General features: G+C 43.2%; 1 pseudogene, besides 3 other annotated features; it reads right to left on the bottom strand.

The window, feature by feature from the left end:
• Nucleotides 2,675-3,554: an enhancer, noted in NCBI's record as "H3K27ac-H3K4me1 hESC enhancer chr10:101282309-101283188 (GRCh37/hg19 assembly coordinates)". NCBI's record gives its function as "activates a minimal SCP1, AML or CMV promoter by ChIP-STARR-seq in naive H9 embryonic stem cells {active_cell/tissue: H9 hESC(naive)}" and the evidence as "EXISTENCE:reporter gene assay evidence [ECO:0000049][PMID:30033119]".
• Nucleotides 3,555-4,434: an enhancer, noted in NCBI's record as "H3K27ac-H3K4me1 hESC enhancer chr10:101281429-101282308 (GRCh37/hg19 assembly coordinates)". NCBI's record gives its function as "activates a minimal SCP1, AML or CMV promoter by ChIP-STARR-seq in naive H9 embryonic stem cells {active_cell/tissue: H9 hESC(naive)}" and the evidence as "EXISTENCE:reporter gene assay evidence [ECO:0000049][PMID:30033119]".
• Nucleotides 4,435-5,314: an enhancer, noted in NCBI's record as "H3K4me1 hESC enhancer chr10:101280549-101281428 (GRCh37/hg19 assembly coordinates)". NCBI's record gives its function as "activates a minimal SCP1, AML or CMV promoter by ChIP-STARR-seq in naive H9 embryonic stem cells {active_cell/tissue: H9 hESC(naive)}" and the evidence as "EXISTENCE:reporter gene assay evidence [ECO:0000049][PMID:30033119]".
• Nucleotides 23,399-23,441, bottom strand: LOC124902570 (uncharacterized; annotated as a pseudogene).
• Between the last annotated feature and the right edge of the window lie 3,990 nt (nucleotides 23,442-27,431).

Raw genomic sequence — 27,431 nt, 5'->3', positions numbered from 1 at the left:
GAGTCACTGGCCTCCTGAGAGGGGACTAAGTCTCATGCATTCTCCCCTGGGAGCTGGGCTCCCCAGATGCATGGCAGGCAGCCAGCCAGCCACCCTCTACCTTTTACCTTCCAGCTGCAGCCATACTTTTGAGATTGGTGGCAGTTTCATCTCCTGAGAAATATAGGTTTCCAGTAGGTGGATAGAGACATGATATAAATGTTTCTACAGACATGTCTTTCTCCTTGAATGAAGAGGAAAGTGCTTTCCTGTGTAAACACATTAGTGAGTGCACATGTGGATGGGCATGGGGAAGAAGGCACTCAGGACTCCCCATAAATGTAGACTCCACATTAGGGCTCTGCTCTTTCAGATCATGTGGTCATTAACACAAGGCTGGCCAACACTCATTCTAAATTCCCTCCCTCCTTCCCCACCCACCCCGCCCCACAATAATGTGAATTACTGGTAGTGACATGAGATTTGGAGAGAAATGTTTATATGATCCAAGATGAAAATTAAGTTCCATGACTATCAGATGCACTATTTCTATAAGGCAATTTATGGGATCATTACAATTAGTCTTGTACAAAGTAGTTCCATAAGGGCCTGTCTAAGCTGTAGTCAGAGAAGAGGGAATAGATTTTATTACCAGAATTGTAATGACTGTGTGTGTTGTTGAAAGTAATAAAACTACATTGAAATATTCTGAAATTTAGACTTTTAAAAACTCCATGTGTCATGCCCTCCACATTAGTATAGTAGAAGGGTGGCCTGTATGTATATATATGTATGTATTGTGCCCCCACATAAGTGAGCATGTACACAGGCAGATGTGAATATCTTATACCTCCCACAACTGGTAAGTCAGTAAGCATGCATGTGAATGGCTGTAGACAGACCTCCTGAGCATTCATGTGCAAAGGTTGCCCCGGTGACACCCTCCTCTGCAAGGAGAGTCCATAGATGAGGAGGTTGAGTTTGGGATGGGGCCCAGGGAGATGTTGCTTTCTCTAAGTTATAATCATAAGTCATGCCTCTGTCTTGGGCTGGAGCACTGGCCCTGTAGTCCACCAGATCTAGGTGTGGAGTCCTGCTGTTTTTGTAGTCTTGTGACTTTGAGCCAGTCTTTCAACCTTGTTAAATGGCTGTTTTCTCACTTACAAAAGAAGATAATAATGGTGTGGACTTTATAGGCCTGCCTTAAAGATTAAGAAAAGCACTTACAGAGCGTTCCACACCTATGAGAGGAGAAACGGTTCTTGCGGTGGCGGCTGGGGGTGTGCGTGGTGAGGGGCGGTTGTTAGGCACAGAGGTGCCGAACCTCTCCTCTAGCTGAGCAGAGATCGGCGGAGAGTTGGGTTCCCAGGCCCTCTGTTTTCCCACTTAGAAAAGCATTATTTAATTGTCCATCAAATTTTGTGTTTTTGGGGGTCTTCAAACAAGGACACTAATTCTTAATCATTAGTTTTAGGAAATACTCTCAGAATGACCAGCAGCCTCCTCTCAGCCTCCCCACTCCCCCAGTAGCCACTCCCGACCCTCTGAAGCTAAAGCAGCCGCAAACAAAACCCGCACTCCAACCCAGCTTCCCACTCCCACAAATGCATCATTTTTAGCTGCTGTAAACAAATCCCTGAAGTCTCATGTCATTGTTATCGTGTTGAGATAAAGATCTGGCCAATTAGCCTCCCCGCTGGAATGCAAATAAATCAGCTGCTGGGGACCTGCCCTGGCGGTGGGTGTCCCTCTCTCACCCAGGCCTTGCCCTGCACCAAACTGTGCCCTCTCTCCTTTTACCTCTGCGGTGGGTGACAGCATCTGGCCATTGGATTTGCCTGGTTTCTTATCTCTCCGCTTGGCCCCACAACTGCTGTGTGACTTTAGGCAAGTCACTTACCCTCTCTGAGCCTGTTTCCTTTCCATAAAGGAGTTACTGGCGGCTACCTTTTAGGGTTGGTAGTGAGTGGCTGTAACAATAGAAATAATACAGCTGACAACAATAACATTAGCAATCCCACCACCAATGACCATACGGACAGAACTAGCTACTGTTCATGGCTTTTCTACAAGCACCAATGGGCTCAGAGGTGAAGAGCCTCCCCTCCCCACCCAGCCCCCACATAAACTGGCAGACCATGGTCAAGAGACTTCTACTGGGCTGGGAGAGTCCGCTGTCTCATTGGGTATGAAGATCCCAGAACATCTCCAGGCTGCTGTAAACTCTTGCTAAGTGTCCGCCATTGTTACTGCTTCTGCTTCTTGCAACAGCTCTTGTCTTTGGCCCTATTAATATAACCATTTCAGAGGAGGGAACTGAGGCTCAGAAGGGTGAGGTAAATTGCCCAAAGTTGTTAAAATTCCTTGCCTTGAACACTCAGCTTCCTCTCTTCCCCCGCGCCACGCAGGGACTGCCTGCCCAGACGCAGTTCTCTCTACTCTGCGAATTCCTGCTCCCTACTCGACAGCCCTCCCCCTCCTCAAATCTTCCTGCAGAGCCCTGACGGTGGTTCACAGCCCCCGAAAAGAATGTGCCCCGGTGACAGGATTGACGGGAAGCTGCCTTGAAAATAAACACTGCCGGACGGTGGGGCGGAGCCTCCTCTAGCCCCCTCCCCTTCCCTCCTACGTGTACCCCCACCTCCGCCCCCCAGAGCAGTTTCCTTTCTCCCTACCTCCGTCCTTCGCTTTCTATTCAGTATGGGGCTGCCAGCCCTCGTCCCCGCCTTCTGAAGTGCCCACTGTCAAGTTAACACTAATCATGATAATAAACTTTCCACCGGTGAACAAAGCGTTCCACACAAAGGTCTCTTCTGATCGCTACATCCCTCGGAGAAAAGTATCATCGCCCCTCCCGCCCCATGTTAGAGCCTTGGACATTGAGGCCCCAGAAATAAAATTATTTGTCCAAGGTCACGAAGCAAGTAAGGAGTGGGTGCAGGACGCCTCCGCTCCACGCCTGGGTGGGCTGGAGACAACGTCCTGCCCCAGCCAGACTCCGGGAACCATGACTCCACGGCCATCCGGCCCCAGGGAGGCGTTTTTCCAAGTGACCCCGCCTCCCCCCGCGACCCCCGCAGGGTTGACCTATTGTCCCGGAGGCCTCGCTCGCCTCCTCCTGGGCGGTATCTGCAACCCCGACGCCAGAGCAGGGCCCGCTGGGAGCCCACTGCTGGGTCCCTGGGAATAGGTCACAGGGCTTTCCAAGGAGGCTCCCCTCCTGCCTCTGTCCTGACCTCTTAGACCACTCTGCCGAGGGAGAAGTAGGAACTTCCCACTGGAAAGCAAACCCCCTGCAGCACGGCGGAGCCGGGAATGCGCTGGAGCTAGCCTTCAGACCTTGGCAGCCAGGCACCCCGGAATCTGCGCAAGTGGCTGCATCTCGGGGAGGCACCGTGCACTTCCTGGAGCAGAGCTGTGGATTCAAATTCTGTCTCCATGGGTCTCCAGGCAAATTCCGTAACCTCTCTGAGGTTTCTGCTTTTCTGACTTGTGGAACTGGGAATACTAGAAGCATCTACCTCTTAGGTCGCCTAAGGATTCAAGGAAATTACCTCTGTGAAGCACTTAGCGTGGTGCCTGGCACAAGAAACGCCCAATAAATGTTAGTTTATTATTATGAAGCCCGGGACAAGTGGAGGTTGATTTTTTTCCGTTTGGGGTGTGGGCTCTGTGTCCTTGCTCACACGGAGGCTGCCGATGTGACCAGGTGGCGCCCTTTGAGGCCTTGGCTGGCCACGGGGAGAGGGGTAGAGTTTTTGAAGAGCCGGGCTCACCCCGGTTACTCTGTTTGGGGCGGGCCCCGGCGGTTACGTTAATGCGAGCTGCGGCCGCCTGGCGACCTCGCTGTGTGCGTCTGTCCTGAGCCGCGTGCGTGTCGCGGCCTGTGAGTGTTAGGAGCCGGGTCCCCTTTGACGCGCTTGAGGGGACCTCACCTGCGCCTGGTTTAGATTTTGGCCGGGACAAGAACCTCAGATTCACCTGACGGATGCGTGGCGTCCACGCTGTGTACACAAACCCCAGCGAGGCTGGAGTCCGGGTGCTCGGTTCATCGAACAATTTGCGCTATTAATGGTTATTTTATTTATATCGTTAGAATTGTTCCCCCGGGTCTGTTTACACCAAACGTCTGGCCGTCCCGGCTGCACTGTTTGGACAGAGGATTATACTAATGGATAACGAGCTAGGAGGGGAGAAGAAGGCGCGGCTGGAAACGGGGCTCCAGGACACCGCGCCGGGTGGGCCTGGAGGGAAAGGGGAGCGGGGCCTCTCCCAGGCTCGACCTCTGACCTTAGAAGGGAAGGAAACTTGTCAGCCGCAATTGGAAACCTTGGCCTCCAGCGGGGTGGAGGCTGGCTGCTCCCGGGACCCCTACCCCTCTTCTCTCTAGGCGGATACCAAACTCGAGGTCGTCTTGCTTGGGTGAGCGCGCGTCAACAAGTAAACAAGACCGGGAGCTACCAGGATGGCGGCCGCTTTGATTTCCTCGCAGTCGGTGACGGCCTGCTTACTGCTTCGGCCTCCAAATCCGGATTAGGGCCAAGCCCCGGGCGCCTGGCGGCCGGCAAGGTTAGAGCTGCCTTCAAAGGGCGGCCGCCCAGCGAGTGCGCACCTCCAGGAGCTGGAGACTCCCTGCAGCGCCCGGCGCAAGGTGCGCACACGCTTACCCACTGCTAGCCCGGGAAAAAAAACGCTACCCGCGCACCCATCCAAAGCAGTGGAAAGGGCGCCATCTGACAATGGGCGAGTTGCCCACTGGCGCCCAGGACCAATGTAGGGTTTCATAGATCTTGGCAGCCTTCAGTTTGAAAAGACTAGGCCTGGAATTCTTGACTTTGGAGACAAGTGTCTTTGCTATAGGGCTAGGGGGTGATGCGTGAATGTAGCTAATCGTTTAGCATTTACTACATGCCAGACACCGTGCCTAGTGCTTTTAGTCTCCACATAATCGTAGGAACGATTATCCCTTTTTACAGAAGAGAAAACAGGAGGCTTCGGTAACCTGAGCAAGATCTCACAGCTAGTAAGTGGTAGAGCCAGGATTCTAGCCATATAGTGTGTCTACAGAGCTAGGGCGGTGGTTCTCACTGTTTTGTGGTTTGAGCACTTGCTTGGGATCCTCTCCCCAGATACGCGTGACCCTTTGCCAACAATTCCAGGGGCTTCAGGGAACCTCCTGGGTCCGGTTATAAAACTTGCATTTGATTTCACGTCAATTTTGAACACAGAATAAGAAGGTAGTAGTTTTTGTTTTACAACTTAAGATTCCTGAAGCTCAGAGGGGTAAAGTCACTTGCTCGAAATTACATTGCTGGTAAACGTGGAGTTAGGCTTTCAGGTTTTTGAGGTTTTGCCTTCGCGAGCACAACTTCTCCAGTCTCTCCAAACCCTGAAGTTCTCCTTTTCCTTCCCGCTTGGCTCCCTATCTCCTCTCTGGCAGGAGGACGTGGTACCAGCCCTTGAGAGGATCTGGGTTTCTTGCGGGGCCTCTGGGAGGTGATCGGTGGCGGGGGCGCAGCGCCAGACCCAGGTTGCCCTGTGCTCTGCGGACCCTGCTGCCACAACGCGCGCTCCGGTGAACGGTTTATCTAAAGACAACTTCTGTTTCTCGTTCGCGGTCTGGAGTCGCCCTGCAGCCAGCAATGAAAAATGCGCCTTTTCCCGAGACTCTGGCGCTGGTGATTTATGTGGGAACGGTGCTCGCCCGCCAGGCCTGGGCTGCTCAGCCTGGCCTAGAGGGTGGAGGGCGGGGGCGCCGGCCTGAAGGAGAACCTGGTGCCCCCGCCCTTCCAGCGCCCGCTTTTACGGCGCCCGTTCCATCCCTACCTCCAGGACATTTTACAGCCGCTCCCCCAGGAAGCCCAGCGCTTTATCGCGGTAAAGTAAACACCATTATCCTAGGTCCATTAACACGGAGATTTCGGCGTTGTAAATAGACCGCGTGAGGGAGAAGGGCAGCCCCTGCGAACTCCCTTGTAAAACGGTGAAGGTTCTCTAAGATTTATGGCTGCTGATTGGCCCCGCAACCTTCTAAGAAATCCCAGGCTTGGCCAAAGCCAGAAGATGGGGCATTCCCCCTAACCTAGAAATCTCGCCCCGGAGTGTTAGGACTGCAAGGGTAGGGGGTCCTCAGGACGTGTCTGGCTCAGTCATTAATTTTCTTTAAGTCACAAGCCTAGGAATGCCGATTCCTTTCCGGCTGTGGATGCAAAGATAAACTCTTAGCAGGAGCTGCCAGCCCAACCACCAGGATGCTTGTGTTCAGGCTTCTTTCTCATTTATAAACTGGATAGTGCTTTCAGCAGCTACTTTAGGAGTCTATAAAGCGGAGGGACTTGTAATTGGTGGGCACTGCCCAAACACCCATTAAGCCAAGGGAGGCATTTGGCCGGCTTGTTTGGCATTACTTCTTTAGCCTCTCTTTCCAAAATGATATGGCCACCATATTTATTCTTGGGCCAGCCTGTAAATATGAAATCATGTAGAGATGATGGTGCTGGCACAAGAGTGGGCAGTCCTAGTTCTCCACCTCTCTGGGTTTCTATTTCTGATGAATATTTTGTGAATGGTTCCAGGAAGTTTCTGCTCATCTGTGGAGTGGTTTTCTTAACCCCTCAAATCAATATTTGTATTAAACAGTGGATTCTGAACTAGGAAGAGTGGCTCAGTTTGACTGGGAAAACAAAGGGACAAGTTGTCCAGGCCCAGGCAAGCTGCAGGAGAACCCAGCCTCTCCTAACCCTTGCCAAAGTCACTTTCAGGACACAGTCCATGCCCAGAGTGGCTCCTTCTTTATCCCTGAGAACTCTGTAATTCTGGTGCAGTCCACCACCTGGCTGAAAGGTTGGGTTCTGGGGAGGAGCAAGAGAAAGAAAATAGAGAGCAGGGTTGCCAGAAATTGTTTCCTGGCGTAACTGGCTCTGCCTAGAGCAGGACTGTTTAAACTTTTTGTGTGTGCATGCCAAGGGCCCCATTGGCAGTCTGGTGAAGCCTATTGACACCCCCCCAGAATAATATTTTTAAATGTATAAAATAAAATACATAGATCACAAAATAAACCAATGACATTAAAATACAATTATAAAAATATATTTTTAAAAATAATGATATGGTAATATACACAATTCTTTATTATTTGATTAAATGACAAAATCTAGCGGCAGATCTGTCTAAACAACAACCATAATTTCAAAGCAGTGATGAGTGTAAATAGAATTTCAAGGTATCTGCCATAGCAGTAATGTTCTCTAACAATATCAATGATTTCTATTGGTGGCGGAGTCACAGGTGCTACTAATACTACTGGGTTTATTGCCTTTATCAAAAGACATTCAGAAGAAATGCTAGGCAGGGTGCAGTGGCTCATGTCTATAATCCCAGCATTTGGGGAGGCTGAGGTGGGAGGATCCTTTGAGCCCAGGAGTTCAGGCCCAGCCTGGGGAACCTAGTAAGATCCCATGTGTACAAAAAATAAAAATAAAAAAATTAGCTGGGCATGGTGGCATGTACCTGTGGTCCCAGGTATTCAGGAGGCTGAGGTGAAAGGATCACTAGAGCCCGGGAGGTCAAGGCTACAGTGAGCCATGATCACTGCACTCCAGCCTGGGTGACAAAGTGAGACCCTGTGTCAAAAAAGAAAAAGAAAGAAAAAGAAAGAAAGAAAGGAAAAGAAAGAAAAGTAAAGAAAGAAAGAGAAAGAAGGAAGGAAGGAAAGAAAAAGAAAGAAAGAAGGAAAAATGTTAACTTCTAGTTACAGCTAATAAAAATAAAAAAGATACACAGGTGACCTCATTTTATTACACTTTGTTTTATTGTGCCTCACAGATAATGCATTTTTAACAAATTGAAGGTTTGTGGCAACCCTTCATTGAGCAAGTCTATTGGTGGCATTTTTCCAAAAGTGTGTGCTCAGTTCATGTCTCTGGGTCACATTTTGGTAATACTTGTACTATTTCAAACTTTTGGATTATTATTCTATCTGTTATGGTGATCTGTAATCAGTGATCTTTGATAATACTATTGTAATTATTTTGGGGTACTATGAACTGTGCCCATATAAAACAGTGAGCTTAATCGATAAATGTTGTATGTGTTCTGTCTGATCCACTGACAGGCCATTCTGCCCTCCCCTCCTCAAACCTCCCTATTCCCTGAGGCACAACACTATTTAAATTGGGCCAATTAATAACCCTACAATGGCCCGTAAGTGTTGAAGTGAAAGGAAGAGTCACGTGTCTCTCTTTTAAATAAAAAGCTAGAAATAGGACTAAGCTTAGTGAGGAAGGCATGTCCAAAACTGAGATAGGCTAAAAGCTAGGCCTCTTGCACCATTTAGCCAAGCTGTGAATGCAAAGGGAAAGTTGTTGAAGGAAATTAAAAGTGCTACTTCAGTGAACATACAAATGACAAGAAAACAAAACAGCCTTATTGCAGATATGGAGAAATTTTGAATGGTCTGGATAGAAGATCAAACCAGCCACAACATTCTCTTAAGCCAAAGCCAAATTCAGAGCAAGGCCCTAACTCTTTAATTCTATGAAGGTGGAGAGAGGTGAGGAAGCTGCAGAAGAAAAGTTGGATGCTAGTAGAGGTTGGTTCATGAGATTTAAGGAAAGAAGCCATCTCCGTAATGTAAAAAAAAATGTAAGGCGAAGCAGCAAATGCTTATGCAAAAGCTGCACTAAGTTATTCAGAAGACCAAGCTAAGTTAATTGATGAATGTGGCTACACTAAACAGCAGATTTTCTTTTTCTTTTCTTTTCTTTTCTTTTTTTTTTTTTTTTTTTGAGACGGAGTCTCGCCCTGTCGCCCAGGCTGGAGTGCAATGGTACGATCTTGGCCCACTGTAGCCTCTGCCTCCTGGATTCACACAGCAGATTTTCAATGTAGATAAAACAGCCTTGTCTTGGAAGAAGAGATCATTGAGGACTTTGATCATGAGAGAGCAGAAGTCAATGCTTGGCTTCAAAGCTTCAAATGACAGGCTGAATCTCTTGTTAGGGGCTAATGCAGCTGGTGACTTTAAGTTGAAGCCAAAGATCATTTGCCATTCCAAAAATCCTAGGGCCCTTAAGAATTATGCTAAATCTACTCTGCCTGTGCTCTGTAAATGGAACAACAAATCCTGGATGACAGCACATCTGTTTATAGCATGGTTTACTAAATTTTTTTTTTTTTTTTTGAGACAGAGTTTCGCTCTTGTCACCCAGGCTAGAGTGCAATGGCACAATCTTGGCTCACCGCAACCTCTACCTCCCAGGTTCAAGCGATTCTCCTGTCTCAGCCTCCCGAGTAGTGGGATTACAGGCATGCGCCACCACACCCGGCTAATTTTGTATTTTCAGTAGAGATGGGGTTTCTCCATGTTTGTCAGGCTGGTCTTAAACTCCCAACCTCAGGCGATCTGCCCACCTCGGCCTCAGTTGAGATCTGCTGCTCAGCAAAAAAAAAAAAAAAAAAAAAAAAAATCAAAATATTACTGTTCATCAACAATGACCCGGTCACCTATAGCTCTTATGAAGAGGTACAAGGAGATTAATGTTATTTTCATGCCTGCTAACACAGTATCCATTCTGCGGCCCATGGATCAAGGAGTAATTTTCATTTTCAAGTCTTATTTAAGAAACTCAGTGTCTAAGTCTATAGCTGCCAATATATAGTGATTCCTCTGATGGATCAGAGCAAAGTCAATTGAAAACCTTCTGGAAAGGATTCACCATTTTAGATGCTGTTAAAAACATTTGTGATTCATGGGAGGAGGTCAAAATATCAACATTAACAGAAGTTTGGGAGAGGCTGATTCCAAGCCTCATGGATTACTTTGAGAGGTTCAAGACTTTGGTGAGGGAAATAACTGTAGATGTGGTAGAAATAGCAAGAGAACTGGAATTAGAAGTGGAGCTGTGACTAAACTGCTGCAATCTGAGGGTAGAGCTTGAATGGATGGCAAGTTGGTTCTTATAGATGGGCAAAGAAAGTGGTTTCTTGGCCAGGCGCGGTGGCTCATGCTTGTAATCCCAGCACTTTGGGAGGCAGGTGGATCACGAGGTCAGGAGATCAAGACCATCCTGGCTAACACGGTGAAACCCCGTCTCTACTAAAAATACAAAAAAATTAGCCGGGCATGGTGGCAGGCGCCCGTAGTCCCAGCTACTCGGGAAGCTGAGGCAGGAGAATGGCATGAACCTGGGAAGGTGGAGGTTGCAATAAGCCGAGATCGCACCACTGCACTCCAGCCTGGGCGACAGAGAAAGACTCCGTCTCAGAAAAAAAAAAAAAAAAAAGAAAGAAAGAAAGAAAGAAAGGGGTTTCTTGGGATGAAATCTGTTCCTGGTGAAGATGCTATGAACATTGTTGAAATGACAACAAAGGATTTCAAATATTCCATAAACTTAGTTGACAAAGCAGTGGCAGGATTTGGGAGAATTGACTCCAATTTTGAAGGAAGTTACTGTAGGTAAAATGCTATCAACCAGCATTGCATGCTACAGAGAAACCTTTTGTGAAAGGAAGAGTCAATTGATATGGCAAACATGATTGTCATCTTCTTTTAAGAAATCGCCACAGCCATGCCAGCCTTCAGCAACAACCACCTTGATCAGTCAAAAGAACCATCAATGTCAAGGCAAAAGCGTCTACCAGCAAAAAGATTATGATTTGCTGAAGTCTCAGATGATCGTTAGCATTTTTTTTTAGCAATAAGGTATTTTTAAATTATGGGATGTACAATCCTCTTGCACACTCAGTAGACTATAATATAGTGTAAACATAACTTTTATTTGCATTGGGAAACAAAAAAATTTATATAACTCACTTTATTGCACCACTAGTTTGATTGCAGTGGTCTGGAACAGAATCTACAATATCTCTGAGGTATGCCTGTATTTTTCCCTTTTTAAGTTCATGTACTTAACTAAGGACCTGGATTTGGTCCTCAGATCCCTTGGGAATTCATAAACTGCCAGGTGAAGAACCTGTGGTCTAGGATCAAAACCTAGATCACTTCATCTGAAAGAGTGATCTTTGGATCATCTGCATCAGAATCTTCTAGGGGTGTTTGTTAGAAGATTCTAGAGTCCCTTCTCCTTCTAAGACCTCCTCTGTGGGTAGATCCAGAATGCTGCATTTTCATCTTAATGCTCAGAGGATTTTTTTCACACAAAAGTGTAAGAATCACTGCATCTGATCCTCACGGATTAGCATCAACACTTTGGTTGGCTGCTTGGATGATGAAAGGAAGATCTCCTTGGAGAGCTGGGAGGTGGGTGGGAAAGCAGGGATTCTAGGCTTTTCTGTGGAGACTGCTTGGAGGTGGTGTACGTGACATTGGTGGGCACAGCAGGTGAGGCATGTGGGAATAGCAGAGATGGAAGTGGAGATGGGGCATCTTGGTGAAGGTTCCCAAAGTGCTGGCAAAGGTTCTGAAAAGACTTCAGGAATTAACTGAAATCAATCCTGTATTTAATCTGAATCCCCATTCCTACCTTGACCCTATATTTTACACACAAGAAGAGAAACTCGTTGAAGACCACATTGTTTGTGGAAGAGGTAGTCCACTAGACTTAAATGCCAAGTTTAATTCTTACGCTTGGTGGTGGTGAGTTCAGAGTGTAATCACATGGTCAGTGGCAAAGGCAGATATAACTTTTTCTTCTTGAAGCACTGGCTTCCATTTGCTTTCAGGTGTTCCTAGGTTCTATCATCCTTTACAGAGTCTTCCTGAGTTGGCATATTTGGAGCTTTCACTCAATGAGTAATTACTTGCCATGGACCAGGTGTTGACCTAGATGCAATGGAAGCTACAGAAATGAAAACAAGAAATGATCACTACTCTTCAGGAATTTTCACAGATACATTCTCCAGTCACTATCAGTTGTTTTGTTTTGTTTTGTCTTGTTTTGTTTTGTTTTGTTTTGTTTTGTTTGAGACAGGCTGAAGTGCAGTGGCATGATCATAACTCACTGCAGCTTCAACTCTTGGGTTCAAGTGGGAGCCTGGCTAATTATTATTTTTTTTCTGTAGAGATGGGAGTCTCATTATGTTGCCCAGGCTGGTCTCAAACTCCTGAGCTCAAGCAATCCTCCTGCCTCAGCCTCCCAAAGTGCTGGGATTATAGGTATGAGCCACCATGCCTGGCCTAATCACAATCAATCTTAAGTAACCTTGATAACCATTCATTCTTTTGATCCAAGCCTAATTTGATATTTGTGCAGTTGCCAAGGCCAAAGTCTTACTGGAAGGGAGGAGAAGAGCTTTTAGTATATTGATTAATTGGGGACCTGTCTTCTCTGTTGTAACAGGTAACTAGTTAGACCATGAGCTTTGATGAACACTGTTACAATGTTTAAGTGTTGAACAAAGTGGGGCTTGTTCCAAATGTTAAGAAATGGGTAAGATACACCCAATAGGACACTTGAATATAGCTATGAAATTGCTAGCCCCAGATCAAGCAAGGGATTATAATTGAAAGCACAGAGTAAACCCAGCTCTAACTAATAAATGTTCACCTGGCATGAGCTTCAACTCTAGCAGTCCTGTTTGCCTTGTTTATATTCTTCCATGTGCTTTCATCAGGGTCTTAGATCACACTCATGATAGCAGGTGGGTCTGTGTGAAGAATTCAGAGATTAATGAAACCATGGCAGAGTGGAAAGGGAATAGGGGCTAGAGACAAAAGATCTGGGTTCCAATTCTGTTTTTGTCACTGAAGAACTTTGTGACTTGGGTAGAAAATTTGAGTTTTCTGTTTGGTAAAATGGGTATAGTAATACCTATTTCATAACCTTTGTTGGAAGGAGTAAGATAATGTGTAATAAAAGTGGTTTGCAAACTGTAGGTTACTATGCAATGTCAATAGCTACTGTGTGCTTTTGGAGCCAGATAAACCTGAATTCTAAACCTGGCATGAACCATTTACTTGCTAAGTAACTTGTCTAAGTTATTTAACTTTCTGAACTTCAGTTTCCTCATCCATAAAGTGGGACTAATACCCACTTATCTGGTTACTGTTCTAATATTTAAATGAGATTGTTGTATGTAAAAGAGTGTCCACCACATTGTAAGGATGCCTACAACCATTCCTAGGTTGTTAATGCTAGGATGGCAGTGGCTGTGTCCTATATATCTTTGTGTTCTTAGAATGTGGCAGAGACTGCTACACATAGTAGACTCTTAATTTTGGTGGAATAAATAACTAAGGAAGCTTTGTATATATATCTCCATGCACAGCATAAGCTACGCTTACACAAAGTATTCATTGGCCAAGCAGAGCTACTCCTGGGTTTATTTCAACCCCAGCTCTACCCTAGTGGGTCATTTGCATTCATCTCTCTCCCTGGAGGAAGATGAGGTCGTGATGAGACTCAGAGTCTGCAGCAGCAAAGGGCTCCAGTACATGGCTTTGGTAAAAGATACAAATTTCTATATTACTATTCCTCAATCAAGCAGTCAATCAACAAATGTTCATTGAGTTACCACTACGTACTAGGCACTCTTCTAGGCGTTGGGGATTCAGCAGACAGACAAGGTTTCTGTCACTAGTCCCTTTAGACAGTAAAGAGAGTGACTTCTAGAGTTTCTGCTTCTTTTCTTGTTTTCTTTTTGAGATGAGTAGATTTGAAGATCTGGAAGTTGAAGCCTGGGAAACTTGTTGCAGTCACTGAGATGGTCTCCATTTGAGGATATTAAGGATCTATGAAGTACTGGAGAATTAAGCATACAGTAGTCACATACACTAGTCAGTAAAGACATAATACACACACACACACACACACACACACACACACACACACACACACACACAGAGAAATTAGTTTTCTATTGCTACTGTAACAAATTTCCACCATGACTTAAAAGGAAAATTCCTGCCCCCTCTCCCATTTTTTTTTTTGTGTATATGGGGAGAAAGTTTTGGATCTACTCTCTTTGCAAATTTCAAGTGTACAATACAGTACACACAGTACCTGACTTACGATGGTTCAACTCACACTTTTTCAACTTTATGACTTTTCGACTTAATGTGTACATTAATATTCATCCAGCCATTCTTTTTTTTTTTTTGCTTTCAGCACAGTATTCAATAAATTACACGAGATATTCAATACCTTATTATAAGATAGGCTTTGTGTTCAATGATTTTGCCCAACCTAGGCAGAAGTGTTCTGAGCACGTTTAAGGTAGGCTAAGCTAAAGCTATGATGTTTGGTAGGTTAGGTATATTAAATTCATTTCTGACATGATATTTTCAATTTGTGATGAGTTTATCAGGGTGTAACTGTATTGTAAGTTGAGGAACATCTGTATTATTAACTATATTCATCATGATGTACATTAAATCCCCAGAACTTATTTATCTTGTAACTAAAGTTCATACCCTTTGACCAGCGTCTCCTCATTTCCCCCAGTCCCCAGCTCCTGGCCACCACCATTCTTCTCTCTTTTTCTATGAGTTCAGCTCTTTTAGATTCCACATATAAGTGAGATCATACAGTATTTGTCTTTCTCTGTCTGACTTATTTCACTTAGCATAATGCCCTCAGAGTTCATCCATGTTGTTGCAAATGGCAGGATTTCCTTCTTTTTTATGGCTGAATAATATTCTATGTATCTATAAATCGCAATTAAAAATTTGTTTACAAAATTTGTATGGGTACATAGCAGGTGTGTATATTTATGGGGTACATGAGATATTCTGATACACACCTACAATGTGTAATAATCACATCTCACATCAGGGTAAATGGGGTATCCATCACCTCAAGCATTTATTCTTTTTTGTGTTATAAACATTCCAATTACCACTCTTAGTGATTTTTACAATGTACAATAAATTACTGTTGATTGTAGTCACCCTGTTGTGCTGTCAAATACTAGATCTTATTCATTCTAACTATATTTTTGTACCCATTAACCACCCCCACTCCTCACACCCACCCACCACTCTTCCCAGCCTCTGGTAACCATCATTCTACTGTCTGTCTCCATGAGTTCAATTGTTTTAATTTTTAGCTCCCACAAATGAGTGAAAACATGAAAAGTTTGTATTCCTGTGCCTGGTTTGTTTCGCTTACCGTAAGGACCTCCAGTTCCACCCACGTTGTTGTAAATGACAGGATCTCATTATTTTTTATGGCTGAATAGTACTCCATTGTGTATATGTATCACACTTTCTTTATCTACTGGTTGTTGATGAACATTTACATTGATTCCAAATCTTGGCTATTGATATGGTTTGGTTGTGTCCCCACCCAAATCTCACCTTGAATTGTAATAATCCCCACGTGTCAAGGGCAGGACCGGGTGGAGACAATTGAATCATGTGTGCAGTTTCCCCCATACTGTTCTTGTGGTAGTGAATGAATAAGTCTCAGAAGATCTGATGGTTTTATAAATAGAAGGGCCCCTGCACAAGCTCTTCTTGTCTGCCACCATGCAAGATGTGACTTTGCTCCTCCTTTGCCTTCCACCATGATTGTGAGGCCTTCCCACCCATGTGAAACTGTGAGTCAATTAAATCTCTTTCCTTTATAAATTATCCAGTCTGGGTATGTCTTTATTAGCAGAGTGAGAACTGCTAATACAACTATTGTGAATAGTGCTGCAATAAACATAGGAGTGCAGATATCTCTTTGATATACTGATTTCCTTTCTTTTGGGTATACATTAATACCTAGCAGTGGGGTTGCTGGATCATATACTAGTTCTGTTTTTGTTTTTCGAGGAACGTCCATACTGTTCTCCATAGTGGTTGTATTAATTTACATTCCTGCCAATAGTGTACAAGGGTTCCTTTTTCTCCTCATCCTTGCCAGCATTTGTTATTGCCTGTTTTCAGGATATAAGCCATTTTAACTGGGGTGAAATTATATCTCATTATAGTTTTGATTTGCATTTCTCTGATGATCAATGATGTTGAGCACCTTTTCATATGCCTGTTTGCTATTTATATGTCTTCTTTTAAGAATCCCAGCAGTTTGGGAGGCCAAGGTGGGTAGATCACCTGCGGTCAGGAGTTCGTGACCAGCCTGGCCAATATGGTGAAACCCTGTCTCTACTAAAAATAAAAAAATTAGCTGGGCGTGGTGGCAGAAGCCTGTAATCCTGGCTACTGGGGAGGCTGAGGCAGGAGAATCACTTGAACCTGGGAGGCGGAGTTTGCAGTGAGCCGAGATCATACCATTGCAGTCCAGCCTGGGCGACAAAAGCAAAACTCCATCTCAAAAAAAAAAAAAAAAGAAATGTCTCTTCAGACCTTTTGCTCATTTAAAAAATTGGTAATTAAATTTTTTCCCATTGAGTTGTTTGAGCTCCTTGTATCTTCTGATTATTAATCCATTGTCAGATAGATAGTTTGCAAATATTTTCTCCCATTGTGTGAGGTCTGTTCACTTTGTTAATGGTTCTTTTGCTGTACAGAACACAATTTCTTCTGTCTTTCATCTGTTGGAAATGCAAATTTTTAATTTTACAATTCTGTAGGTCAGAAATCTGACACAGATCTCACATGGCTAAAATCAAGGTATAAGCTTTTCTGGATGCTCTAGGGAAGAATCCATTTCTTTGAATTTTCCAGCTTCTGGAGGCTACCCACATTCCTTGGCTGGTAGCCCCCTGCCTCCATCTTCAAAGCCAGCCATGATAGGCCAAGTCCTCATGCTGCCATCTCTGTGGTTCTCTCTCTGACCTTATGTAGTCACATCTCTCTGTGACCACAGATTGGAAAAGTTCGTTGCTTTTAAGAATTGATGTGGTTGTGCATGGTGGCTCATGACCATAATCCCAGCACTTGAAGCTGAGGCGGGTGGATCACCTGAGGTCAGGAGTTTGAGACCAGCCTGGCCAACATGGTGAAACCCCCGTCTCTACTAAAAATACAAAAATTAGCCAGGTGTGGTGGCGGGTGCCTGTAATCTCAGCTACTTGGGAGGCTGAGGCAGGAGAATTGCTTGAACCCGGGAGGCAGAGGTTGCAGTGAGCCAAGACTGCACCACTGCACTCCAGCATGGGCAACAGAGTGAGACTCTATCTGAAAAAAAAAAAAAAAAGAAAAGAAAAAAAAGAAAAAAAAATTGATGTGATTGAATTGAGTTCGCCTGGGTAATCCAGGTTAATTTCCTCATATCAAGGTCAGTACTCCTAATCACAGTGCAAAATTTTGCTATGTAAGGTAAAATATTCACATCTTCCAGAGATTAGGGTGTGGCATCTTTGGAAACCACTCTTCTGCCTATCAGGGAGTGGGAGAAGGAGGAGGATGGGGCAAAAGGATTTCCCTGATGTCTTTACCAGAAAAATGGGCTTTCAATAACTGAAAAGTTAAGAATTAAGAATGCAGCTAAAGGTCAACTTTTTCTAGTAAGCTATATTACACTCTGCTGCTTAGTCAGCAGCTGAATACATAAGACATGACACTCAAGGCACGAGTCAGCTCTATTAACTTCTGCCCCCTTCTCATCCAGGAGCCCCTGCTACACACAAGCCATCTAGGTGCAGGCAATCAGATCTGTGTTAATTGCCCTTTAATCTTTGTTATGTTTTCATGTTTCTATCTGATGTCAGATGAGCCCCAGGTGGTAGAATAGCTGAAGTTTGTCTTCAGTGCTACCCTTGTCTTCACCCTACCACTAAGCAGACTCTTCTGCTTAAAAGCACACACACAACTATCTGAGGATATTTCTTTCTTTCTTTCTTTCTTTCTTTCTTTCTTTCTTTCTTTCTTTCTTTCTTTCTTTCTTTCGTTCTTTCGTTTTTTCTTTCTTTTCTTTCTTTCTGTCTTTCCTTCCTTCCTTCCCTCCCTCCCTCCCACTTTCTTCCTTCCTTCCTTTCTTTCTTCCTTCCTTTCTTTCTTTCTTTCTTTCTTTCTTTCTTTCTTTCTTTCTTTCTTTTTCTTTCTTTCTCTCCTTCTCTCTTTCTCTCTTTCTTTCTTTTACAGCGTTTCACTCTTGTTGCCCAGGCTGGAGTGCAATGATGCAATCTTGGCTCACTGCAACTTCCGTACCCCAGGTTCAAGCGATTCTCCTGCATCCGCCTCCTGAGTAGCTGGGATTACAGGCACCTGCCACCACGTTCGGCTAATTTTTTGTATTTTTAGTAGAGATGGGGTTTCACCATGTTGGCCAGGCTGGTCTCGAACTCCTGACCTCAGGTGATCTGCCCACCTTGGCCTCCCAAAGTGCTGGGATTACAGGCATGAGCCACCAGGCCTGGCCTATTTTTTTCTTTTTAAAGGTATACATATGGGGAAAGACTGGAAGAGAACACTCTAAAATAACAGTAATTGTTAGGTGGTGAAACTGTGGATTTCTTTCTTATTTCTCTTCTAAATATTATCTAACATTCTTTGTATTTATCAATAAAATATATATTCACAAGTGTCAGCCATTTGATGGAGAATGATTTTCAATATGGAACTGAGAGTTGGAAGCCAAATCCTAGATTTTATACTTTTATATCTGAGGAGGCAGCCTTGCTCAGAAGTGAGAAATATGAGAATCATGTGTAGCTGAGTTGGAGTTCTAATTCCTCCATGTACAACCTAGTTGACTCCCTGCAGATGACTTCATTTCCTCAGCTGTAAAATGAGAAAACTCAGTGGTTTACCTTATAGTGTTACTGTAGGAACTAAATTACAGATGCATGAAAACTTCTTGGGCTGGTATCTGGCATGTAATAGGCCCTCAAAAAACATAAATGTTATTTTTAGAACTCAACCATTGCTTAATCCAGCCCTCAAAGCAAATATAAAATCCATTATCAGAGAGAACAGGAGTGGTCATACTCCTAGTTTCTGAATGTGATAATTATGAACAAGCAGAATGTTTCCACTTGAGAACCTTCAATTTGAGTGAAATCTCATAAATGACCTAATCATATACACTATTTGCAATGCAGGATATTAAAGCAAATAAAAAAACAGCCTTCCAAATTTATTTACTTGTTAGTTATGGTGCACTTAGTATATTCCGGCCCCTCTAGAGACAGATTTCTGTTCCCAGGAACTTATAGTGTACCAGAGAGAAAAGAAATGAGCACATAAAAAGCTTTAAAAAGAGGCAGAGTAGCTGGCCTGGCATGGTGGCTGACACCTGTAATCCCAGCACTCTGGGAGACCTAGGTAGGTGAATCTCTTGAGCCCAGGAGTTTGAGACTAGCCTGGTCAACATAGTGAAACCCCATCCTTACAAAAAAACACAAAAATTAGTCAGGCATGGAAGCACACACCTGTAATCCCAGCTACTCTGGAGGCTGAAGTAGAAGGATCACCTGAGCCCAGAAGGTGGAGGTTGCAGTGAGCCATGATCACACCACTGCACTCCAGCCAGGGCAACAGAGTGAGACCCTGTCTTGGAAAAAAAAAAAAAAAGCCAGAGTAGACAAGAACTCTGGATTCTGGAAGGTTAGAGGAGAGGGCTTCTCTGCAGAGGTCAGGGAATGATTCATGGAGGAGGTGGGGTTTGAACTGGACCTTCAAGGAAGTGTGTGGTTTTGACAGGGTGATGAGGTGGTGAGAAGACATTCTGAATTTCCCTGCAAGCATTTTCACATACAAGCTGTTACCAACACAAAGATTCAGTCATGTCATTCCCCAGAGTCATACTCTTTGAAATAGGGAAGGGTTTCAATGCAATATTACATGGTTCCTAAAATGATAAGTATGCAAATAATTTAACGTAAGATGCTTATGTTAAACAGTTCTCACAAAAGAATATATCAGGCCGGGCGCGGTGGCTCATGCCTGTAATCCCAGTACTTTGGGAAGCCGAGGCAGGCGGATCACGAGGTTAGGAGATCGAGACCATCCTGGCGAACACTGTGAAACTCCGCCTCTATTAAGAATACAAAAAAAATTAGCTGGGCGTGGTGGCAGGTACCTGTAGTCCCAGCTACTCGGGAGGCTGAGGCAGGAGAATGGCATGAACCCAGGGGGCGGAGCTTACAGTGAGCCGAGATTGCGCCACTGCACTCCAGCCTGGGCAACACAGCAAGACTCCGTCTCAAAAAAAAGAACATAGCAAAAATGTATGCACAGTATCATCTCAGTTATGTCAAGTACACAGAAAAAAGATGAAAGGAAATACTTGAAAATGTTAATACCTGTGACTAGGTATTAAGAGTATGGATTTTTTCTTCTATGTAGTTATTGTGCGTATGTGTGTACTAAATAGAAAGGAGTATATAAAACATATGCTCAGTTTTAATAACAACGAGAATATAAACACATAACTTACCACCCAGGTAGAGAAATAAACCATTGCTGGGACTTGGAAGTTCCCTTCTTTCATAGTGTGCCTTCCTTTACCCCCAGATATTATTGTGTTGTCTATTTCCTTAGAATTTTTCAATCTGTGTCTCTCTAAACACCCTATTGCCAAAGTTCTCGGGAAAAAACCTGAGTCTCAAACATAAATCTAGCTGCCTATGAAAAGAACAATATTGTCACTATTAGATGATGGAGCTATGGAGGAGATAAGGTGAACAGAGCCTCGGAGTCATAGTCCTGCTGTAGCTTTCCCGAGAGTTTACCTGCACCATCTTGGACGAGACAATGGGCAAGACCCCTCTTCATGGGAACAAAACTGTTCTTTTAGACTCTCCATCAGTCTCTTCGGGACTGCCTTTACCCCTCTCCGATGCTGGCTCACTGCTTTCCTGTGTCCCACATTCTTTTCATGATTACTGCCTTATTTCGTAGGAACACTGCTTCCAAGAGCTTTTTGAAAAAGGGAGGATACATGGGATATCAACAATCTAAGACCCTGAATAGCTTAGAATTACTTTTATTCTACCCTCATCTTTAGTAGATGGATTGTCTAGATCTAGAATTTTTGTTTGGAAAATGATTTTTCTTCATTATTTGGAAATCTGTCTGTCTCCCCTTTTTTTGAGACAGAGTCTTGCTCTGTCACCAGGCTGGAGTGTAGTGGCACGATCTCCACTCACTGCAACCTCCGCCTCCTGGGTTCAAGCAATTCTCGTGCCTCAGCCTCCCGAGTAGCTGGGACTACAGGTGCACACCACTATGCCTGGGTGATTTTTTATGTATGTATGTATGTATGTATGTATGTATGTATGTATGTATGTATGTATTATTTATTTATTTATTTATTTATTTTTAGACAGAGTCTCATTCTGTCACCAGGCTGGAGTGCAGTGTCACGATCTTGGCTCACTGCAACCTCCACCTCCCGGGTTCAAGCAATTCTCCTGCCTCAGCCTCCCGAGTAGCTGGGACTACAGGCGCGCCACCACGCCCAGCTAATTTTTGTATTTTTAGTAGAGACTGGGTTTCACCATGTTGGCCAGGATATTCTCAAACTCCTGACCTCATGATCCGCCCGCCTTGGCCTTCCAAAATGCCGGGATTACAGGCGTGAGCCACCGCGCCCAGCCTTTCCCCTTTTTAAATTCTTTTCTTTTTAGAGATAGGGTCTCACTATGTTAACCAGGCTGTTCTCAAACTTTTGGCCTCAAGAGATCCTCCTGCCTCAGCCTCCCAAAGTACTGGGATTACAGGCTGAAAACATTGTTCCATGGTCTTCTAGCTTCCCATGTTAAGTGTTGAGAAGTCCTAATCTTCCCTAAATCACCTTTGCTTTCTCTGGACTCTTGTAGAAGCTTTCTTTCCCCTCAATATTGTGAAATTCCACCATAATGTGCCATCCTGTGGGTCTATTTTCATCTGTTGTGTTAAGCACTTGGGGGATCCTTTCTGCTTATCAATTCATGTCCCTCGGTTTGCTAAATGTTTTCAGGTTATTTTATTGGTTTTTGTCCCCTCTATTTTTTTATTTTCCTCTTCAATTATTTGGATATTGGGTCTTTTGGGGTGGCCTTTCTTTTTTCTTATTTTGTCATTTTTTTTAACCTCTTTGACTTTTTGCTTAACTTTCCGGAAGACTTTCTATGTAGTATACTATTCAATAGCTGAGTTTTTCATTGTTGCTTTCATGTTTTTAATTTTATGAGCTCCTCTTTATTTTGTTCTCTGAATGCTACTTTGTTGAAACACAACATTCTGTTCCTGTTTCCTGGTTGCAATATCTTCTTTCTCTTAAGGTAATATTGATAGTTTTGTTTTCTTCTCTCTGCATAATTGCTGTATCTTTCAAGTTACATTTGACTTTTTTTAATCTTTGTATTTCATGATAATGGCTTTCCTTGGATGTCTCGTGCTACTTGGATGTATGTAGACTTCTGATTAAGATCTGATCTAAATGTGCTGATGGGAACCTCGAAGAAGAGTGGGACTTCTGACTCTGAGCCTCACTGTATTGTGATTTGGGTGAGCTGTTTGTTGCATAACGTTCAATGTCAGAATCTGTAGGTATTTCCTCTTGGTCTGGTCAAATTCTCAGGGAGGCATCTTCCATTTTTCATGCCTGATGCAGCTTGTTCTGAGACTTTGAGGATTCTATGGTACACATTGGACTGGCTCTCAGCTTTCCCCATTGCTAGCTTGGAATTCAGCTTCTTGATTCTATTACTTCTACCTTGTCTTATAATTGGGAGGTGAAAAAAACTAAATAGCAAACAAACAAACAAAGGTAGGGCTGTGGTGTGAGGTTAAATTCTGGATCCTAACATAAAATTTTTATTTCAGAAAAGAGCCAGACCTATGTAAGAAGCTGCAAAAATCAAGGACATTATGTATGTCTAGCTGTTCAGCTAACTTTTCAGTCACTTGGGGTAATAGAGGAAATCCTGGATTTCTAGAACAGCAGAATGTTAGAATTGGAAGGCACCTTGGGGCTAATCAAGATGACACATGTGCAGAAAAACCCCCAAGCCAATCAGCCTATATTTGCTCCAGATGGCATTCTCTGAGCTTTGTGTTTGCCTGGCCTAAGGACAGCTAGCTCCAGAGCCTTAAGTACACAACTCCCAAGAGGAGAGGGGGACCCCAGAAGTCTGGGATCTTGAAGGAAAGGAGACGTTAACAGGTGATCTGCCCAATGGATTATGTACTCACACAGGCACCAAAGCAAACTGTATACAAGTTGCCTCATCAGGTTTTGCCCCTTTCAGTAAAGTTCTGAGTATTTGGAAAAGGCTTGGTCCTGGAGGGGAGAGTCGAAGCATGATTATAAGGAAGAATGATGGAGAAACCCGTCATCTCCCATTGCGCTACCATGGGTAACGCAAGGCTAGAACCCTGATTTCCAAACCCATCATTAAAACCTGTGCCATGGGGCAAATAGTAAAACCTATTGTTATAATACTTCTAGCAGCCTCGATTGGTAGAATCATGGTAAAAAAAAAAAAAAAAAAAAAAAAAAAAAAAGGAACCAGAGGCTTTTAAGATGATCTTAGATGTCATTCTGGTTGTTCTTTCTCTTGTAATTGCACTCATTTGGAAATGTACTTACCTGATGCCATACCCTCCCTTTTTTGTTTTAGCATATTTTGTATTTTTTTTTTTTTACTGGAAAATCTGCTAGACAAATTCTAAAAGAGCTGTAACCCTATTTTTGTATTTTGTATTTAATTGTAATTATATTTATATGAATGGGCATTAAATTCATGTTTTTCTAATTTCAAAATGTGTAAGTATCCTAATTTTCCCACATACCCAGCCCCCCAGTTTCCTTCTCTAGAGTCCACCAATGTTATCAGTTTTTAAAATGTATCTTTCAGAAACATTTTATCCACATACAATAAGCACATATTCCTTTTTTCTTCCTTTTTACCTTTTGCACAAATGGTAGCATTTTATACAAGGTTTCTGCACCTACCTCCCCACCAAATACCACTTACTGTTGCCTCACATACTTCTGCATAATAGTCCACTGTATGGATGAACCATGATGGATTCAGCCAGTCCATTATCGATGACCCCCTGGGTTATTTCATCTCCACTTTTTCTTTTTGGGGCTTTATTTTCTTTCTTTCTTCTTTTATTTATTTCTGAAAAATAGGACATAAATATTTAGAATCTTTTTTGAGATGAAGTCTCGCCCTGTTGCCCAGGCTGGAGTGCAGTGGCATGATCTCGGCTCACTGCAACCTCTGCCTCCCTGGTTCAAGCGATTCTCCTGCCTCAGCCTCCCGAGTAGGTGGGATTACAGGTGCCCACCACCACGCCCAGCTAATTTTTTGCATTTTTAGTAGAGACGGGGTTTCGCTATGTTGGCCAGGCTGGTCTCGAACTCCTGACCTCGTGATCCACCTGCCTCGTCCTCCCAAAGTGTTGGGATTACAGGTGTGAGCCACCGTGCCCAGCAAACATTTAGAATTTTAATAGTTATTGCCAATTTACTCACTAAAAAGATTATAATAGTTTACATTCTCATCAAATAGGAATGGAAGTGCCTGTTTTTTTCATAGTTTCACCAAGACAGGTTATCCTCAGTCTCTGAAATATTCATCTAATAGGTGTTATTTATTGAATTTTAGATAGCATTTTCTGCAATTTAAACAAAAAGCAAATAATTATCTGATAAAAATTACAAAATAGGAAAAGCAAAATAAGATGATTTTTAAAAATCACAATCCCACCCAGCAATAACAAAGTGATAACTTGGTGGGTGTTTACTGCCAGTGCTACAATTTATATTCCTTTTCTTCCTTTTTTTTTTTTTTGGTACAAGTATGGTAACGTACTCTATTTATTGTTTCATAGCTTATTTTAAAAGTTAATAGCATATGATGAATATTTTAATATTTTTAATTACTTCTGTCTTTAATATATTCAGATTTTTATTATACAAATTTTGAAACATGTAAAAGTAGATAGAGCATCATAATGAGCATCCACATATCCACTACCTAGATTTAAAAATTATTAACATTTTTCCATTTCATTTCATCTTTGTCTTTGCTGAGTATTTTAACACACTTTCCAACTACCACATTTTACCTAAATATATTTACAGATATTTCTAGATTTTAGTAGACCACTATTCCTCAGTTCTCTTCATAATCTGATACCATTACAAGTGATTATATACATATATGTGATTATGTTATATAATATATAATTATGCATATATCTAATAGGTGTAATTTGTTTATTTTTAAAAATAATCTTAGATGTCATTCTAAGATGACATTACATATATAATATACATATTATATAATATATGTATTTTATATGTACATATACATATAATTATAGATATGTATTATACATACATGTAATTATGTGATAGAGTTACAGGGCTGCTCTGAGGCAAACCAGCAGAACCAGGCAGGTTCCTTATCCTTCAATACCAAGCACCCTTGTCCTTTCTCTTAGAGAACCAGCAAAACCATTTACACAAAGTTGCTGGGAACATAACCAAATAATACATATTGAAGAGCTCATAGGTCTTTTAAAATTTCTCTTCAAAGCAACATTAGCTGTGAGGTAGCTAGGGAAGAATTAATATCCTTGTTTTAAATACCAGAAAACAAAGGTTCCACGAAGCTCAGGACTTGCTGAAAGGCGACACACTAAAGAACAGAGTTGGGATTCAAACTTGTCTTCTTACTTTAAAACCACGTCCTTCCTCCTAAGAATTTTGCATCTTAAAAGAAGACTGCAGGAGATGGTGGTACTTTACACAATATGATGATTTGATGATGTGGAATTTTGGGCTTTGGAGGAAGGTATTTGGGTAAGGAACTACCTTTTCAAAGACTCCAGTCTCCCTGCCTACCCTACCAGGAGTTTGAGATGAGCTGATGAGGATCTGCCTTGGAGAAAGAACTGGTTGGGGAGATCTTGCAAAGAAAGAGCTATGGGATGTAGGGATTTACTGGACATTGGAAAAGAGGAAGAAGCATCAGGGAAGATGCCAAGGTTTGAGCTGGGATGAAAGGAAGAATTCAGGCTTGGAGCTGATTATGGGGAAGTGGCATGCTGCTTCCCATCCATTTCACATGCTGCTTTTGGAAAAACCTCTAGATAGAGGTGTTGAGTTGTCACTTGGAGAAGCAGGATTACAGTTCAGAAAAAATATCTATAATAATAGGATAATAGATAATATAATATATTATCTATAATGAGTCCTAACTGTAGAGTTAGGACTCATTGAGATAGAGGTGATGGTAGGTAAAGGCCATGGCAGGAGATGAATAGAGACAGAATTGAGAGTAAGATGTGGAGAGGCCAAGGATGAAGTCTTTTTTTCTTTTCTTTTCTTTTTGAGAAGCAGTCTCACTGGGTCACCCAGGCTGGAGTGCAATGGCGCAATCTCGGCTCACTGTAACCTCCACCTCCCAGGTTCATGCAATTCTCATGCCTCAGCCTCCCAAGTAGCTGGGATTACAGGCACTCACCACCACACCCAGCTATTTTTTTTGTATTTTTAGTAGAGACGGGGTTTCACCATGTTGGCCAGGTTGGTCTCGAACTTCTGACCTCAGGTGATCCACCTGCCTGGGCCTCCCAAAGTGCTGGGATTACAGGCGTGAGCCACCGCACCCGGTAAGGATGAAGTCTTAACGTAGAGTCATGTTTAGGGTCATCAGAAGAAGGAAGTGACAAATGAAGGAGACAGAGAAGAAGCACTGGAGAGAGAGAATGAGAGGATAGTGTAGTACCACCAAAGTCAGATGAAGAGTCCCACCAAAGAAGGCAGGGCTTGGTCAAAAGACCAAAGGTGGCCCGGCTGAGGCAGGCGGATCACAAGGTCAGGAGTTCCAGACCAGCCTAACCAATATGGTGAAACCCTGTCTCTACTAAAAATACAAAAATTAGCCGGGCGTGGTGGCACACGCCTGTAATCCCAGCTACTCAGGAGGCTGAGGCAGGAGAATCACTTGAACCCAGGAGGCAGAGGTTGCGGTGAGCCAAGATCACACCATTGCCCACTAGCCTGGGCAACAAGAGCAAAACTCCGCCTCAAAAAAAAAAAAAAAAAGGCCTATGGTTACAGGACATCAAGGAGGATGACAACTGAGAGAAAAGGCCATTAGATGTGATAAGAGCTGAAAGCATGTTTTGCACTGAGTGTTTTTGGGGAAAATCAGGTTGAAGGATTATGAAAGGGGTGCAGTATGGATAAAATAATATATCACTCCATCACCTTATGCGCCTCCACAGGGGTGATCAGCCCCTGACCATGGCAAGGCAGTGGGACATACACTCCTCTCTCTCTGCTGCTCCAAGCCCTAGCTTCCATTCTCTTGCAGGTACATATTGCACCAAATCTGTTGTAGTTCCTTCAAACTTCCTTCTTCCTAAATAAAAACATTGACAAAGGTTACAATACTCTTTGCCCTCTACCGCCCAATTACCTAAATAGCTGCGTGATTCAAAATTTCATAAGGAAGGCCCTGGCAATAATGCGAAGGGAATGGAGAGGAGAAGGGAGAATGAGGGAGACTGTGTGTTTGTATGTTTAATTAAGATATACTATGCACATACAGGAAAGTACACAAATCTTAAGTGCACAGCTTGATGAATTTTTACACAATATATACTGTATAACCAATATCCAGACCCTGATATAGAACATTTCTAGTATTCTGGA

The sequence above is a fragment of the Homo sapiens genome, chromosome 10, assembly GCF_000001405.40.
Source record: "Homo sapiens chromosome 10, GRCh38.p14 Primary Assembly".
In the NCBI taxonomy this organism is placed as follows: Eukaryota; Metazoa; Chordata; class Mammalia; order Primates; family Hominidae; genus Homo; species Homo sapiens.
The sequence above is the reverse complement of the archived record's forward strand: the minus strand, read 5'-3'. Positions and strand labels throughout refer to the sequence as shown.